The sequence below is a fragment of the Homo sapiens genome, chromosome 22 (genome assembly GCF_000001405.40).
Source record: "Homo sapiens chromosome 22, GRCh38.p14 Primary Assembly".
Classification (NCBI taxonomy): Eukaryota; Metazoa; Chordata; class Mammalia; order Primates; family Hominidae; genus Homo; species Homo sapiens.
In genome coordinates this window covers 30,165,637-30,182,338 of record NC_000022.11, presented here as the reverse complement: position 1 = coordinate 30,182,338, position 16,702 = coordinate 30,165,637, and the positions used below count along the sequence as shown (strand labels likewise).

At 39.3% G+C, this 16,702-nt stretch overlaps 1 protein-coding gene across 11 annotated transcripts in view; it reads right to left on the bottom strand.

Moving 5' to 3' along the window:
- The window catches only part of HORMAD2 (HORMA domain containing 2), a 129,725-nt gene that overhangs the window by 25,118 nt on the left and 87,905 nt on the right, over positions 1 to 16,702 (bottom strand). For 4 of the 11 annotated variants that reach the window (XM_047441156.1, NM_001329457.2, NM_152510.4 and 1 more), the window contains one exon: positions 5,264 to 6,276. The exons of the other annotated variants lie outside the window; for them this stretch is intronic. In XM_047441156.1, the coding sequence (XP_047297112.1) occupies positions 6,172 to 6,276 (105 nt within the window). In that variant the 3' untranslated portion in view covers positions 5,264 to 6,171. Of the gene's footprint in view, positions 1 to 5,263; positions 6,277 to 16,702 lie in introns of those variants that run through there. 11 annotated transcript variants of the gene reach the window in all.

Genomic DNA, 16,702 nt, shown 5'->3' with positions numbered 1-16,702 from the left:
CCTCATAACTAATGTTTATTGAACATTAACTTTCTATGTGCCAGCTATTCTTCTAAGTGCTTTTCCTGTATTAACTCATTGAGCTCTCACAATAGCTCTGTGAGAAAGACACTACTATTGCCCCCATTTCACAGATAAGGAAGCTGATGTACAGAGATAGCAAGTAAAACATTAAAATTGTCGAACAGAGTCATACAGCTAGTAAGTAGGGTGACCAGGGTTTGAACCCAGATAACGTCTAACTCCAGAACCCTCAGTTTTAACCACTTTGCTGCCTTTTGGAAAAAGGATTGATAAAATGTTCCTTTGCTCTAAAATCTCCATTGAAATTCAACTATTTATAGAAGTGTCACTGAGTTTTATAGCTAGAAGAGACTACAGTATTCAGTTGGTTCAATTCTTATCCGAATGGACATCTTGCACAACTAGTCTTGAACACTTCCGGTGATAAGGAACTCATTACAGCCAGAAGCAGTCACCATCTGACAGTTTTCATTGCTATCAAAAACAGTCAAATGTTGATTGCCTTCCATGTGCCAGGCAATTTGCTAGAGCATTGGGGGAAAATTCTTTAATAGGTTGAGGCCAAATCCGCATCCCTGGGATGTCCTCCCATTGGGTCTATGTTCTACGCTTTGGAACAACACAGAATGTGTCTGTGGTTACCTGCATTTTATGACAGACTTTCATAAATTTAAAGACAGCTACAAAGTTCCCTTTAAACTTTCTTCTTCCTTGTTTATTCAGTCTGTTCTCATATCACAATCCCTAGGTGAGATTCATTTTTCTAATTAACAAGCTTCTGTTTTAAAATGCAAATGTGGGAGGGCAGCATATTAAGCTTCGTCTGATGCTTCTCTCCCATTGAACTATCTTGATGGAAAGGGAGTTTCGATTTAGGGAAAGGAGTGGGGAGGGTTCTGAGAACAGAGGCAATTGGAAGCATGGTTCAAGTGCTGGCCCCAGGCTTGCACAGGCTGTTGATGTAGGAGCTCTGGGTAGGCAAAAAGCAGCATAGAAATCCAAACTCCTGAGGCCAGGTGCAGTGGCTCACACCTGTAATCCCAGCACTTTTGGTGGGCAGATAGCTTGAGCCCAGGAGTTCAAGACCAGCCTGGGCAACGTGGCAAAACCCCGTCTCTACAAAAAACACAAAAATTAGCCAAGCATAGTAGCACATGTGTGTAGTCCCAGCTACTTAGGAGGAGGCTGAGGTGGGAGAATTGCTTGAGCCTGGGAAGTTGAGGCTCCACTGCACTCCAGCCTGGGTGATAGAATGAAACCTTGTCAAAAAGAGAAGAGAAGAGAGGGAGGGAGGGTAGGGTAGGGTAGGGTAGGTTAGGGGAGGAGAGGGGAGGAGAGGAGAGGAGAGGAGAGGAGAGGAGAGGAGAGGAGAGGAGAGGAGAGGAGAGGAGAGGGAAGGGAAAGGGAAAGGGAAAGGGAAGGAAGGGAAAGGGAAAGGGAAGGGAAGAAGGGAAGGGAAGAAGGGAAGAGAAGGGAAGAAGGGAAGGGGGGAAAGGAAGGGAAGAAGGGAAGAGAAAAAGGGAAGGGAAGGGAAAGGAAGGGAAGGGAAGGGGAAGAAAGAAGGAATCCTAAGTTCCTGGAGACAAAGTGGACACGCTAAGAGTTAAAAAGCAGCCATCACGATGAGTAGTGACTATATGTGTGCAGGGCAGTTTACTTGAATCCGCTTGCTTAAATCTCACAAAAGTATGAAATAGGTGTAATTATTATTCAGATTTTATAGATCGAATAAACTGGGGGCTAGAGAGATGAAATATCTTATCTAGAAAATGAGAGGTTTTGAATCTAGCAGCCTAGGCTTTTTCTTCACTACCTTGCTAAAAGGAAGATGAAAAACTAACTTTGCTTGCTTACCCTAGAGCCAATTAGTAATTACCCATATGGAACCTAGATGCTCCAGACTTCACCAGCCTTCAGGAGTCCTGAAATACCCAAACAACAACCCCTTAAAATCCACTCTTATACCAGGTTTCTAAGTGTCTGAGACCCCAAGGAATGCTCCACTAGTGCCCCATAGATGTTTCTGGCTATCTCAAGCAGCCTGCCTCTCCACTCCTGCCATGGAAAAACCCATGCACTGCTGAACCTCATGGCACAGGTAAGTCCAGACTAAAATGTTTAATGAGCCTGGGCATGCTGGCTCACATCTGTAATCCCAGCACTCTGGGAGGCTGAGGCGGGCAAATTGTTTGAGCCCAGGAGTTTGAGACCAGCCTGGGCAACATGGCAAAACCTCATCTCTACTAAAAAATACAAAAATTATCTGGGCATGGTGGCATGTACCTGTAGTTCTAGCTACTTGGGAGGCTGAGGTGGGAGGATCACTTGAACCTGGGAGGTCAAGGCTGTAGTGAGCCATGATTGCACCACTATACTCCAGCCTGGGTGACAGAGTGAGACCATCTCAAAATAAAATAAAATAAAAGTTTAATGAGACTTTACTACTTTACTACTAAAGGATCTGGGATAACATGATGGAATTATAACACAGGAAAAAGCCCTGAAGCTGAGTAAATCAGCCTATTACCAGAAACGCTGGCCAATCCCTTTCTCAACATCCTCTATTGAGCAAATCTCATGTGCAACTTCCAGCCAGGTTGCAAAGGAATAGTTTACACATAGCCAGTGGTACCTGTGAGCCACCACCTACTGTAAGACTGAGTTTGCTCCTCCCAGACGGCAAAACTCTAATTGCAGAGATATTGTGCACCCAAGGGGATATTATATGAGCAGATTAGCTCCTTAGGACCTCAAGTCTTGCCATTTCTAAATAGGAATTTGACTTTACCAATGGATAACCCAAGGGCCCATTAATAAAAGCTTTTTTCTTTTTAACTAAGACAAGGGTGTCCTCCTTCTCTATCAAAACTGGAAATTATGTATCAAGTCTCAGCCATGACCTCAGTACACAAATCACACAGTCACACTGAAAATATTACCTTTTTTTCCTTTAAACAAACTAAAAATGTCTAAAGGGGATACATTTAGGCATTTTCTCGCTTGTACAGAATCTAGAATCCTACATTGTAGCAGACCTTGACTTAACTCTTACATGCATAGTGTGTTCAGTTTCATTTTATTATTTGGGACCTCTTTCTAAATGATGATGATTATAACTGAGAATTATTTTATTATAATATTTTGTGGAAGTCCCTAAATATCCAATACTGTTGGGTTTGAAACCATAAATTGACAATTTTAAGATACATTAAAGTTGGCTCTAATGGTTAGTGGAATTTTAAGAACACACACACAACTCTGAACTCATGTGAATGCAACTTTGATACTGATGAACATTTCCAGCCTCTTCCTGGAAGAGGTGAGCTGGAGAATGAAAGGACCCAGACAGCAGAGGGACCTGCAAGAGGGGAAATGAAGGTGTGGTTTCGGTGCCTGGCTTCAAAGGCTGGCGGCAATCATGAACCTAACCCATGTCTTTCCAGCTAGACCAAATTTCTGTAAAGACAGAAAAACCCCAAACAGCCAAATTCAAATTTCCCCTACATAACTTTTTATTTAATAATGTCTCAGTTTCCAACTATCATCATCTAATCTTTGTGATCACACTGATGAACCAAGCACAGTCAGAGTGAGGGAATGGCTGGTCTAGAACAGCTCAGGCATCCCAGCATGGGGCCTGTTTTCATTCTTTTCACTAAAGTGTCAGCTCCTTGATGCACTTGTGTTTATTCATCCCATTACAATTAAGAACCAAAATGAATAGAGAAAAGATTTCTTTCCTTCTAATAAATCATTCAGTAGATAGAACTGAATACACTCCAATATTGATAGCTGGTTGCATATTTGAGCTCTGCTGTGTAAAATCAGATAGTTCACATTTTCACAGTTCTCAGATTCCCTTGGTAACAGATCTCCTTCCGTGTGTGCCCAGCCAAGGGCACAGGCCCAGAAACTTCTCTGTTGTCTCACATACACACTGCCTCAGAAACACACAGTCCACCTACTGGCAGTGATAAAGACTGTTCAGATGGGGAAAGAGGTGTTAATAGAGATAATAAAATCACTATAGAAATTTTCTAGATAGATTCAGATTTGAGACTTTGACTTAAAGGATCTGTCAGCCTTAGGCTAAGTTTATGACTATCACAAATACAGATTATGAGCTCAATTCCCCTTGAAGCAAAATAGTTCCTTTTGAAATCCAGATTAACTAATTACTCAGTAGTGCTAATTTGCTTTGAGAGTCTTTATAGAGTTTTTGTGAAGCTCCTCTGTGTTCAAATACCTGCAGTGAAGACAAGCTCACTAACTCACAAGGTAGCCCATCTCAAAATTTTGACAACTGACAATTGTAGAGTTAAAAAGCTCCTCCTGGGCTGGGTGTGGTGGCTCATGCCTGTAATCCTAGCACTTTGGGAGGCTGAGGTGGCTGGATTACTTGAAGTCAGGAGTTCGAGACCAGCCTGGGCAACATGGCGAACCCCCATCTCTACAAAAGACACAAAAATTAGCCAGGCATGGTGGCACATGCTTGTAGTCCCAGCCAGTCCGGAGGTTGAGGTGGGAGGATCACTTGAGCCTGGGAGGTCAATGTTGCAGTGAGCTGAGATTATGTTGAAAAAAAAAAAAAAAAAAAAAGCTCCTCCTTATAAATTGATCTCCTATAGCCTTTACTGATTTGCTCTTAGACCTTCTCTCTGGAGAGACACAAACCTAATTCCTCTACTAGACAGCTAATCTCTTTATGTGATTCTCTTCAAAGAAATTATAGTGACTCAGTCTACAATTCTATCAAGGATATAAGTCCAATACCTTTCCCCTCCTTCTTTCAGTGGCAGAGCAGGCTTTCATGAGTCCACTTAATATGCTAAAAGAAGGGGAAATGCTCCTCCTTGCCTGCAGGCCCCAGTGCTATAGCCCAATTTAAGACCCCAGTTTGGTAGGCTGCCCTAGATAGTCAAGAATGGCTGAGAGTCTGGCAAGGGGCAGTGCTGAACAGGCAGGCTCCCTGGGATTTTCCTACAGAGATTCACTTTAGTCTGGGTCAGAGGTCATTGGTTCTCCATTTTGTGTGTGTGTGTGTTAGAATCTGGAGAGTTTTCCACAGTGCCTGAACCTGAGAGTTTGATTTAGTAGAAATGAGGCAGGCCTAGTAATCCATATTTTAACAAGCACTCCAATTATTGATGTTCTCACTACACTTTACATTTGGAGAGATACTGATGTTAGCAAAGAAACTTTTCCTTTCTGTGTGAAAAAAGATGAGCAAAAAAAAAAGTCTTGTATTTTCATTTTATTTAACCATAAGTCACACACTTAATATTTAACTTATTGGTCCTATCCATTTAAATTAAATTACTAAACCTCATTTTATAAGTTACTAAATCTCATGTTATATAAATAATAGAAATAACACTTTAAGTCATCTATTGTTCATCTCATACTAATCATCAATTAAGTCTATCCAAATTCTTCCAGAATAAGGAGGGAACTAATAGCATCATTTGCAGGTTACAGACTGATAAACTGAAGTGCTTCTTGGGAAATATTTAATATAGGTCTTAAGAAGAGAGCCAGACTCCTGAATTGCAGCATGTTCCGTGTTTCGGATTGGATAACAGAACAGGGCCTGGGGCCAGAGTTGAGGCAGGGCACATTTTGGTCCCACAATTAGCTGATCAACCTCGTGACTGAGGTTAACACATAAATCACACCTGGATAAGCACCTCCACACATCCTATGCAACTCTGTGGGAATTTTTAATACAGCTAGAGAGGGATTCCAGTATACAGGTTACAACAAGTCAAAACATTTCACAGTAGTCTAAATAGCTGAAGAGTTTAATTATGCAAAAAAATCCTTCTTTCCTTTGAGAACAACAGCTTCTTTCCAAAATAGCTGCTGTGGTTCTTTTACAAATATAATATAAAAGGTGCCTCATCTCTAACCCAGCTTTGAAGTAATGCTATCCAGAGGCAGCCCTATTGACCCGCTTTCCTTATGGCAAAGTGGACTCGCGTCCTACCTGGCCAGTAATTTAGCACTTAGCAACTGACAAAAAAAATTGAGCAAAAAATTTAGAAAAAGGTTTTGGTAACAGGAATGTACTTTCCTGCTAAGACAGTTTATGCATGTTTTTACAAAATAAACTTATTTTAAAATAAATGTAGAAGGAATATTTAGCTTTCATTTTCTGTTAGGGATGAAGACCTTCACTGGTTCACTGACCTTCCTCTTCTTCCTGGAGCACTCAGAACTTTGCTGACTGCACACAAAATTCATTCTTTGAATCTGTGAGAATCACCAGAGAGAGGCACAATTCAGCAGAGATTTTGACATCTGCACAAGACATATATAAGACAGGTAGACCAAGCATTAATCCCTCAAGCTGCATAACGGATCCAAACCTGCTTTCCTGTGGGCTGGTTTGGCCCTGCACAGAGGCCCTGCTGCCAGTATCAGAGTCTGGTATTCCAAGTTTCAGGAGCTGAGGTCCCTTGGAGGCAGCCAGTTTCTGAGACAGTTTCTTGGCTCTCTCTAGTGAATTCAACACATCCAACTCTTGAGAGAAGGTTGTTAAGTTGTGGGGCCAACAAGAAGCAATTAAGGTTTAGGAGAGATCTGGGGCACTGACTGCTTTAGAGGCAAATGTAATTTAAGTCCCAATTTCAGGTAGCAGAGACATACTGCCTTGTGTTTTCTATCGTGTGTTCAGAATAATGAATTAAGAAGAACCATAACCTTTCTACTGAGGAGTATGTTATTGATGAAAGGGAAGTTGGTTAGTGAATCATTATAGATATATATTTTGCCATTGAGTTTGGCTTTGGTGAAGATTTTAGAACTTATTTTTGCTTAACTGGGTGAACAATTAGATATATTATAATCTGCCAAACAATCCCTAATGCCTGGAATTCCAAAAAACAGATAGAGGACATTTATATATTTTCCAGCCACTAGATGGGAGGAAAGGTTTTTCCATGTCCTATGTTTTTTCTTTGGAAGGAAAATGGAATAAGATATATATATATATATATTATATTATATATATTATTATATATATTCTATATTATATTATATATATTATTATATATATTCTATATTATATTATATATAATATATTCTATAATATAATATATAATATATATATTTAAAGCAAGACTTGTGAGAATATATAGTAGAGTTTCTAAAATTATCCTTTTTGTCCTTCGTAGGAGAGGCATGTTATTATTATTGATATGTTACTATAACAAAATAGTGGAAGTGCAAATAAAACATTTAAGTGTCATTTAGGAACAAAGATTGTGTATCAAAATGGCTAACTTAAGTACTAATTCATCCTTCAGTTTTAGAAAGCAGTTGAATTTCTGATCTCAGGAACCACAAATTCCCTTTGGCTTATACTAAGACAGTAGCTATACAAAACTCTGAGAAAAGATATAGAGCAGCCCCTCAAATAACTCGTTTACTTACATGTAAAAATTTGAAATGGGCTGCTCTAAAGGAAAGGAAATAGCAACATAAAAAGTCAAAGCACAAAAACCAAGTTGTTATCTAGGAGATGAATTTGTTATGGTTTGACTGTAGGAAAAAAGTATCTGGTAAAAGTTAGCTTGTTGCTTGGCCATGCTTTCCATTCAAACCAAACTATCCTCACTTCTATCAAATCTGGGTACACATGAAAGAAGAGAAGATGAGTGTACGAATTCTCAACTGACCAGTTGACCTGATGGTTTAATAGTTTTGTTCTCTTTTTTCTTTCATTGTTCAAATAAATCCAAAGTTTAATTACAAGTTGCAGAACTGTAATTTTATTGCAGTAAGTCAAAATATCTTCAATATCTCAAGGTAATAGTGAGGCCTGGGAACTCTCAATGGTTCATAGAAAATTTGTGGGCTGAAAAACAAGTATGTTATCAGCCAGGGGACACTTCTTAACATAGACAAATAACATATACACACTATATAAACCAACAAATTTATCCACACAAAGGAACATTTGAGAAACATTTTTCAGGTGTATTCCAACTGGCTGAGTTTGTACACTTGACGCCAAAGCCAACAAGCCAAGCAAAAGGCCACTCATCAGGCAGGCTAGAAAGATTATCTGGTTGATCTGAACATCAGATGATCATCAAATGACTTCTAATACTTTTCATATTATATTTTAAACATACAGCTTTTTAAAGTGTTTCTTTTTAATTATTAAGTGTTTCTTGATGCAGACTAACAAGACGCTACTATGATCTGTTTACCAATAGAGCCTCAGGAGTAGAGTATCCACATATGTATCTGAAAAAAGCCCTGAAGATATGCTTTCTGTATATGATGTTGCCCTACTTTCCATCTTTGGTTTAGTAACACATTCTCCATTTGGGGAGCCAAAAAGTAGGCTTTGCCTTAAGCACAAATAGGATAGCCAGCTGATTTGGTAGCAGTATTTGGGAAGCTTTAGAAGGGATCCCTTCTTCTAAATGACTCTTTTTAATCACTTATTCCTTTATTCGCTCCCTTTAAAAATGCTTGTTACTTGAATGTTCTCCTAAAGTTCTGTCTTTGGCTGTCTTTCTCCTTATTCTCCACACCCTCCCTGAGTGATCTCATCCACTTCTAGGAATCAATTACCATTCATAAGCAAAGACCCCCACATTTATGTTTACAGCCTAGATCTTCCTTCTGAACTTCAGATCCATGTGTGTATCCAACTGCCGACTAAAAGTCTCCACATGGGTATTCCAAAGAAAACTCAAGTGCAGTCTGCCCAAATTGGAATTCATCATCTGCTTCTCTAAGCCTGTTCCCAATCTTCGTTCTCACTCACCCAAGGTGTCCAAGTTAAAAATCAGAGAATCATCCATGACTACTCCATCATTCTCATGCTAGCATCTAATTAATCACTAATTCCTTTTGATCCTACCTCCTTAATAGCTCTCAAATCCATCCATTGTCCTCTATTCCCATTACTTCTTTAGTGCAGGCAAACATCATCTCTCCCAATCACTGGTCCCTACTGCCACTATGACTGCCTCTCCAATCCATTGTCCACTCTGGAGCACAAGTAGTCTCATATGCAGATCTGACACATCGCTCTTCTGCTTCATCAGTCATCCATTAATAACTTCCCATGGACCTCAGAATAAAGTCTAGGTGCTTTATGGCCTTGGCCTATTTCTGCAGCTCCATCTTCCCCCACACTTAACCACTTGCAGTTCTAATGGGCCCTGCTTGCCCTACTCTGGACTTTACCTTCAATGCCCACTCCCACGCTTTGCTCCTCTCTTCTTCATTTGGTTCAGGGGCAGTTCCATAGTTTCTTCTGCCTGCTGGGCTTCCCTGACACCCCCACAGCTGTGTTCTGTTCTTACCCCTTTTGTAGGATTTACTATGCAGTATTATCAGGCCTACTTACTAGTCTTCCCATCCACAGTGTAAACTCCTTGAGGTTTGGGCCATTTTTTTTTTTTTTGAAACGGAGTCTCATTCTGTCGCCCAGGCTAGAGTACAGTGGTGCAACCTCGGCTCACTGCAACCTCCATCTCCCAGGTTCAAGCAATTCTCATGCCTCAGCCTCCCAAGTAGCTGGGATTACAGGTACCCGCCACCACGCCCAGCTAATTTTTGTATTTTTAGTAGAGACAGGGTTTTACCATATTGGCCAGGCTAGTCTCAAACTCCTGACCTCAGGTGATCCGCATGCGTTGGCCTCCCAAAGTGCTGGGATTACAGGCATGAGCCACTGTGCCCAGCCCCAATATTTTCATCATCTTTGTATTCTCAGTTCCTGCCATCTGGTAGATGCTCTTTAATTATTGGCTGAATGAATGAACACACAAATGAAACTGATTTTAAGCCAGGCCATGAGCTGGGCACTAAAAACATATCTCTAGTAATACAAAGATCAAGGAGACATAGTTGGTTTCCCAGAATTGAGCCTTGTAAAGGAGAGACATTAAGTACACAATTACAGTATAATGCAATACAATGTAATGCCAAAATAGACATTCGGCAATTCATTCAGCAGTTATTTATTGAGTGTCAGCTATGTGCATGGCACTCTTCTAGGTGTTTGGGACCTATCAGTGAACAAAAGAGATAAAAATTCCTGCCCCATGAATTTTACAATCTGGCCATGTTACTTTTTGGCTTCATACTTTCCAATGTCATCCATTGTTTTTAGGACAAAGTCCAAAAATGGTCTTTCATACCCCAGACATAGTTCTTTACATTTTCAGGGGAGGGAAAGTGTCACAGACCCTGATGAAAGCTATGCACTCTCTCCTCAGAAAAATGCTCACACCTCCACTCACTAATCTAATTTGGCAGGCTGTTTGAGGAGCTACTAGACCTCCTGAGTATTTCCCAGTTAGAGTTATGACTCCTCAGGCCCTGGCTGTGCCTAGCCTCATATCTTGCTTCTCATACCTTGCTTCCTCTTGATTCTAAACCTTTGCACATGATGTTCCTTCTGCCTAAAATGTTCTTTCCCCTCCATTGCCTTCCCTTTTTGCCTAGTTGATTCCTACTCATTCTTCAGATCCCAGATTAAAAAAATTATTTCCTCAGAGAAATTCTCTCCATCCCACATAAGTTAGGTCTCCCAATCACAGAACTGTATAGAGTTCTAGGAGATTAGGAACATACATGTCTTGGTTACATTTGTATCACTATCTAGCAAGTGCCTTGACATAGTAAAGGTTCAATAAATACTTTTTGATGAATGAATTTTCAAAGAGCACTCTGCCTGCAGTGTAGAAATGTATTGGAGACATCAAGCAGATACAAGTGATGAGTCTGTTATAGTGGTAGACAGGTGATAACTTGCATGGCAGTGGAGATGGAGAGAAGTTAAAATTGAGAGATATATTTGGCAGGTAGAGTCAGGAGGATGGCCAATTGGATACCATGGTAAGAGAGAGATAGATGGGTCAATAATAACTTCCCAGTTTCTAGTTTGGCTAACTGCATGGATGGAGTTGCTGTTCTCTCAGGTCGAGAACAATGGGAGTTTTGAACCTGCTGAATTTGGAGTGCCTACAAAACCTTCGTGTGGACATGCTGAATCAGTGGCTATCTGTGGAAGTCTGAAATTCAGGAAAGAGGTCTGGGTTGGAGATGTAAATTTGAAAGTCATAAGCATACGGAGGATAACTAATGCCATGGGTGTGGAAGAGTTTGCTTATTGAAAGATCAGAGTGTGGGAAGGGAAAAGGATCAGGACATAGCCTAAAGAAATCTAACATTTAGAGATTAGTTAGAGGATGAGCCAACAAAGTAGACTGAGAAAGAGAGAGATAAAAGAAGACTAGCAGACTGTCATGTTGAGAAAGTCAGGGGAAGGGGGTTTTAAGAAGAGGGAGTGGAGAAATTAAAAGGTGGTGGTCAATAGTGTCAGGTGTTGCTGAGAGGGCAAGGAAGATGAGGACTCAAATATGTCCACTTGATTTCACCACATGGGGTTTACTTAGTGCATTGGATTGGTGAGGGTAGAAGTCACCTTGAAGTCATTTGAAGAGTGAATAAAAGACTAAAGAAATTGAGACAAGTACACAAAGTTTTATAGAAGTCCAGAGGGAGGGACCAACTCAGGCTGGGGAATTTAGAGAAGGCTCCTTAGAAGAGAGACATTGAGCTGGGTATTGAAGGAAGAGCAGCAGTTCACCAGACTGGAAATGGTGGTGGGAGCAGGGGGAGGTTATTCTAGGCAGAAAGTTCAATATGTTTAAAGACAATGAAACATGAAAAGACATGGAAAATATATGAGATGGTAGGAAATGTCCCTTTATTAGATTAGCTCTTATGGTTAGGTATTATGCATCCAACATACTCCTGTTAAAAATGTAAATTCCCCTGGAATTTTTACTTAATATTATGTTAGTGTAAGTGAATTTACCAAGTGGTCTCCAAGTGTCAGCCTACTAAAAGCAGAGCCTCACAGGCTTTGGAAAAAAGACAGATATGTTGTGACACAGGAAAGGCAGTTCAGGGCACGGTACTTGTTTTGCATGAGGAGGTAGACCTGCATGGGGAACCACGGGAGAGGGCAGCCCCAGGCAGCCAGGAAATACAGTGAGTTGTGTGCCTGGGGTGAGTGTAGTGAATTTTGCTCACTTCAAAATTATTTTTCAAGTCAGATCTGGCAAAATGTTTTCTCTTGAGAAAACCAGTCCTCACCAGTATAAATTTGTAGTTAAGTTTATGTCTAGAATCTTTGGATTTGGCAGTTTCCAGATCAAAGATTTCCATGGTTCAAAGGATCTATGTCCCTAAAAGTAAGTTATACCACTGATGTTAGTTTTGATTCCCTTAACATTTATATTTTTGGCACAATGAAAGGTAGATCAACAGTAATTATAAAATAAATGCTATTAACGTAAATGAAGTTTATGTTAACATTGTGATGAATAAGCAGTAAGAAAGCAAATGCTTTGAGAGAATACTTATGTCCAACACCAGTGGAGCTGTAAGCTTTCTTGATATGTTGGTACAGTAAAGGAAAGAAAGGAGTAAAACATGACAAAAATTATCCAAGTTTGTGGTAATGCCATTGACCAAGATTGGAAATAGAAGAAGTTGAGGGAGTGAGAGGTGGGAAAATGGTGGGGAAGATAGATGGAGAAATAATTGACTCTGTTTTTAAGATTCCGAATTAGATGTGAGATATCCAAATGAAGATGTTCACCAGGTGTTGACTATGTGAACTGGATCTAAGGATGGAGGAAATCACATCAAGAGCGCATTGGGAAGTGTCTCATGTTTTACTGGGACTTATGAGGGGTTTGCCCATTCAATTAATTTCTTTATCTTCTGTAGTTTGTGACCAGAGTTCTGGACCATGACTATCTCTACTTAGGAGGTAAATGTGTATTCTTCTTAGGCTCATAATCAGATATTTCCATTTATCTCCAAAAGTTGTTACATAAGTTCTTCCTTACTCCCTTCTCTAAGGCATCATATAACTTTAAAAGTTTTATAATTAATTCATTTATTTGATAAATTTTTTTTGGGCACCTTCTCTGTGCCAGACATTGTGTTAAACACTAAAGATACAAAGCTGATCAAGACACTTCATGTCCTCAAAGAAGGCCTGGTACGGGGAAACAAACAGGTTACAGAGGAAATGACAGAGTCATATATAGGGTACAGCAGGGGTTCCAAAAAGATCTTATCAGTTCTTTCTGGGGAGGCCTGGCAAGGCTTCAAAAGGGATATGAAGCTTGAACTAAGTAATGCAAGATGAGCAGACATTCACCAGGCAAACAGCATTAGGAAATGGGGTTGCAGATAACACATTTTAGACAGAAGGAGCACAGGTACAGGGATATAAAGCAGGATACCTCTGGGGAATTGGGTATAGCTCAATGGGGCTAACAGGAAGGGTGTGGGAGTGGTGGGCTGGGTCAGACAATGTCATTCTTTAAAGTTTGGACTTTGTAATGAGAGTCTGTAATGGAGAGCCCTGAAGGGTTCCAAGAGTAGGTCTGTTTTAGAAAGATCCCTATGGCAGCAGTGTGAAGGGTGGATTGGAGAGGAGTAAGACGAGAAGCAATGAGGCTACTTCAGAAAATGAATGATCTGAGCAAGACCAAAAGCCGCAGTGAAGTTAGAGGGAAAACATTAAAAGGATAGAGGGCTCAGGAGAGACAGAATGAGTGCCTGAACCTGAGCCCTACCATGACTTGATCATTAATTGGAATAAGCACAGGTATAGTAAAGGAAAGAAAGGAGTAAAACATGACAAAAATTACCCAAGTTTCTGGTAATGCCGGTGACCAAGATGGGAAATAGAAGTTGAGGGAGTAGGAGGTAGGAACATGGTAGGGAGGATGGATGAAGAAACAACTGACTCTGTTTTCAATATTCTGAATTGGAATGAGGTATCCAAATGAAGATGTCCACCAGGCATTGACTATGTGACCTGGAGCTAAGGATGAAGGAAATTGCATCAAGGGCACATATCTAAAGAAGTATTCACTTGGGACAAAAGAAAGGATATTACTTCTTCTGAGGTCCGAAGGAATGAGGTAAAATGGATACAGATATAGGTAAACATTTAAATATGAGAGCAGAAAGTTGAATGATTTATGTTTGATGGCCTTAATTATTTCTATGAAGTAGAGTTTAGGTCATCTGCTTAGAAAGGGAGTAAATTGGTCTTGGGTGGCACTTAAAACACTTAAGTGGTAAAAGTATAGAATGGTCATTTGGACAATGGGAAAAGCAGTTGATCATAGATTTGTAAAAATAATGTAGAGTTTTACTTAGGATCCAGATAGCTTTAAGACATATTACCTTCAAATGAAACATTTGAATGCTTACAACAGACTATATACTAAAAAATCACATATGTTATGTCATTTATTCCTCACAATAACTGTGTGTGATGGGAGGGGGAGTGGTTATTCCTCTTGTACAGATGTAGAAACTGAAGCTCAGAGAAGTGAAATGACTTATCTAGTTCACACATTTAGTAAGTGCAAGTTTTGAACCCAAGTCTTCTGATTTCAAGTTTAGTGCTCCTTATAATTTGTTTCTTCAACCCAAAGGGGAAAACAAGGTAAAAAATTATAGAAGAGACTATAAGAATTCTTCGTGGGGCCCTTAAGTTTCTATTTGGGGTTGATCTTTCCTTGGGCACAGCCTATTGGGACTTCAAACTAAACACAGCCAAAGTCAAATTTATTGTTTTTCCTTTGTAACCAATTTTTCCTCATGACTCTACAATTTCTGTAAATCATCATTTCCTAGTCATCAAAGGTGGAAAACAGTCACCTTAGATTCATCCCTCGTCTCCTAATGCCTACACAATGTTCTTGTAATGAGTAAATGGAATAGCACAGATAGAGCACTTGGTATAACCTCTCACATGTGCAAGTCATTCAGTGACTGACAGTTATCATAATTCCTACTGCCACAGGAATCCCTAACTCCAGGCAAATTGGATATTTGTGGTACACTAAAAAATGAGCCCCCAAAGATGTTCATGTCCTAAATTCTGCAGCCTGTGAATGTGACCTTACATGGCAAAAATATAAAAGGGGGGCGTCTCTACAGATGTAATAAAGGATCTTGAAATGGAGAGTTCTTCTTAATTATGCAGGTGGACCCTAAATGTAATCAGATGTATCCTTGTAAGACAGAGGCAATGGGAGATGTGAACACAGACAGAAGAGAAGACAATGTGACAATAGGGTCAGAGACTGCTGTGACCAGGAATGCCAGCAGCTACTAGAAGCTGGACGAGGCAAAGAATAGAACTTCTCTTAGAGCCCCCAGAGGGAGTGTGGCTCTGCTGACATCTTGATTTCAGACCACTCATATTGCTTTTGGACTTCTGGCATCCAGAATTGTGAGAGAATACATTTTTGTTGTTTTAGCCACCAAACTTGTAATTTGTTACAGCAACCAAGGGAGCTAATCCTCCAAACATACCACATTCTTTTCCCTCTTCTCTATTTCCTCTAGATTTAAGAAAACAGAAATCTTCCATTACTTTCTTTCTTTTAAATTTTGAATAATTCCTTCAAGGCCAATTTCTAGTAGTACTTCATCCACAAAGCCTCTCTTGCTCCTTTAATTTGACATGAACTTTCTTTCTAATGAATATCCACACTACATTTTTGTAATTGAACGTTTCTGACAACAGAAATATTTGTAAACAAATTGTCTTATACTTGGATTGGATTTTTATTTAGGAATTAATGTGTATTAATTTTATGGCCTTTTGCCTCTCTGCAATGCTTTACACAATGTCTTTCACACAGTAGGTATCAATAATTCTTTGCTACACTACCTCTACTACTTACAAAAGTGTTCAGTTACACATTTATTCATACATTCAAAAGCCGTACTGTCTAATATGATAGCTATTAGCTACATGTGGCCATTTACATTTAATCAAAATGAAATAAAACTTAAAATTTACTTCCTCAGTTGCATTAGCCACATTTCTGGTGCTCAATAGCCACATGTGGTAAGTGGCTACCTATTTGACATCACAGATACAGAACATTTTTATTATCATGGAAAGTTCTATTGGACAGAGCTATTCTACATGGCAATCTTGAATATTATACAAGTAAATAGAAAATTTCTTAGGGATTATGGTGATAATAGGAATATAGATACTAGAAATAATGTTTCCTCAAAACACAAAGGCATATTATTATAAAAATAAGTTTCCCAAGATTAATTCATCAAATAAATGTAATCTCAATCAAAATTCCAATAATATGTCTGTTGGAACTTGTTAGGCTGATTCTAATAGTCATCTGAAAGAGAAAATATATGGGAAAACCTTAAAAAGAATAATGAAAAAGAAGAATAATGAGGGGAATAATAATAATAAAGAGAATAAAAAAAGAAGAAGAATGAAGAATAAAGAAAAAGAATAATAATAATAAAAATAAAGGGAATAAACAAAAAGAAGAAGAATGAGGGGAAACAGTTACCCTACCAGATATCAAAAGCTACTATAAAATAAAGGTAATTAAAAATTATATCACAAGAGTAGATATATGGATCAGTGAAATAGAAGAGAAAAATCTAAAAACAAACCTATGCTATGGTTTATGAAAAAGGTGGCATTTCAATTACCAGGGAATTGGCAGACTATTCAGGTGGTACCAATAAAATGGGAAAAAGTTATCATACTGGGGGAAATATCCCAGCTAACTTAAGGAAACAAATATGTAAACCCAAACTACAAATCTATTAAAAC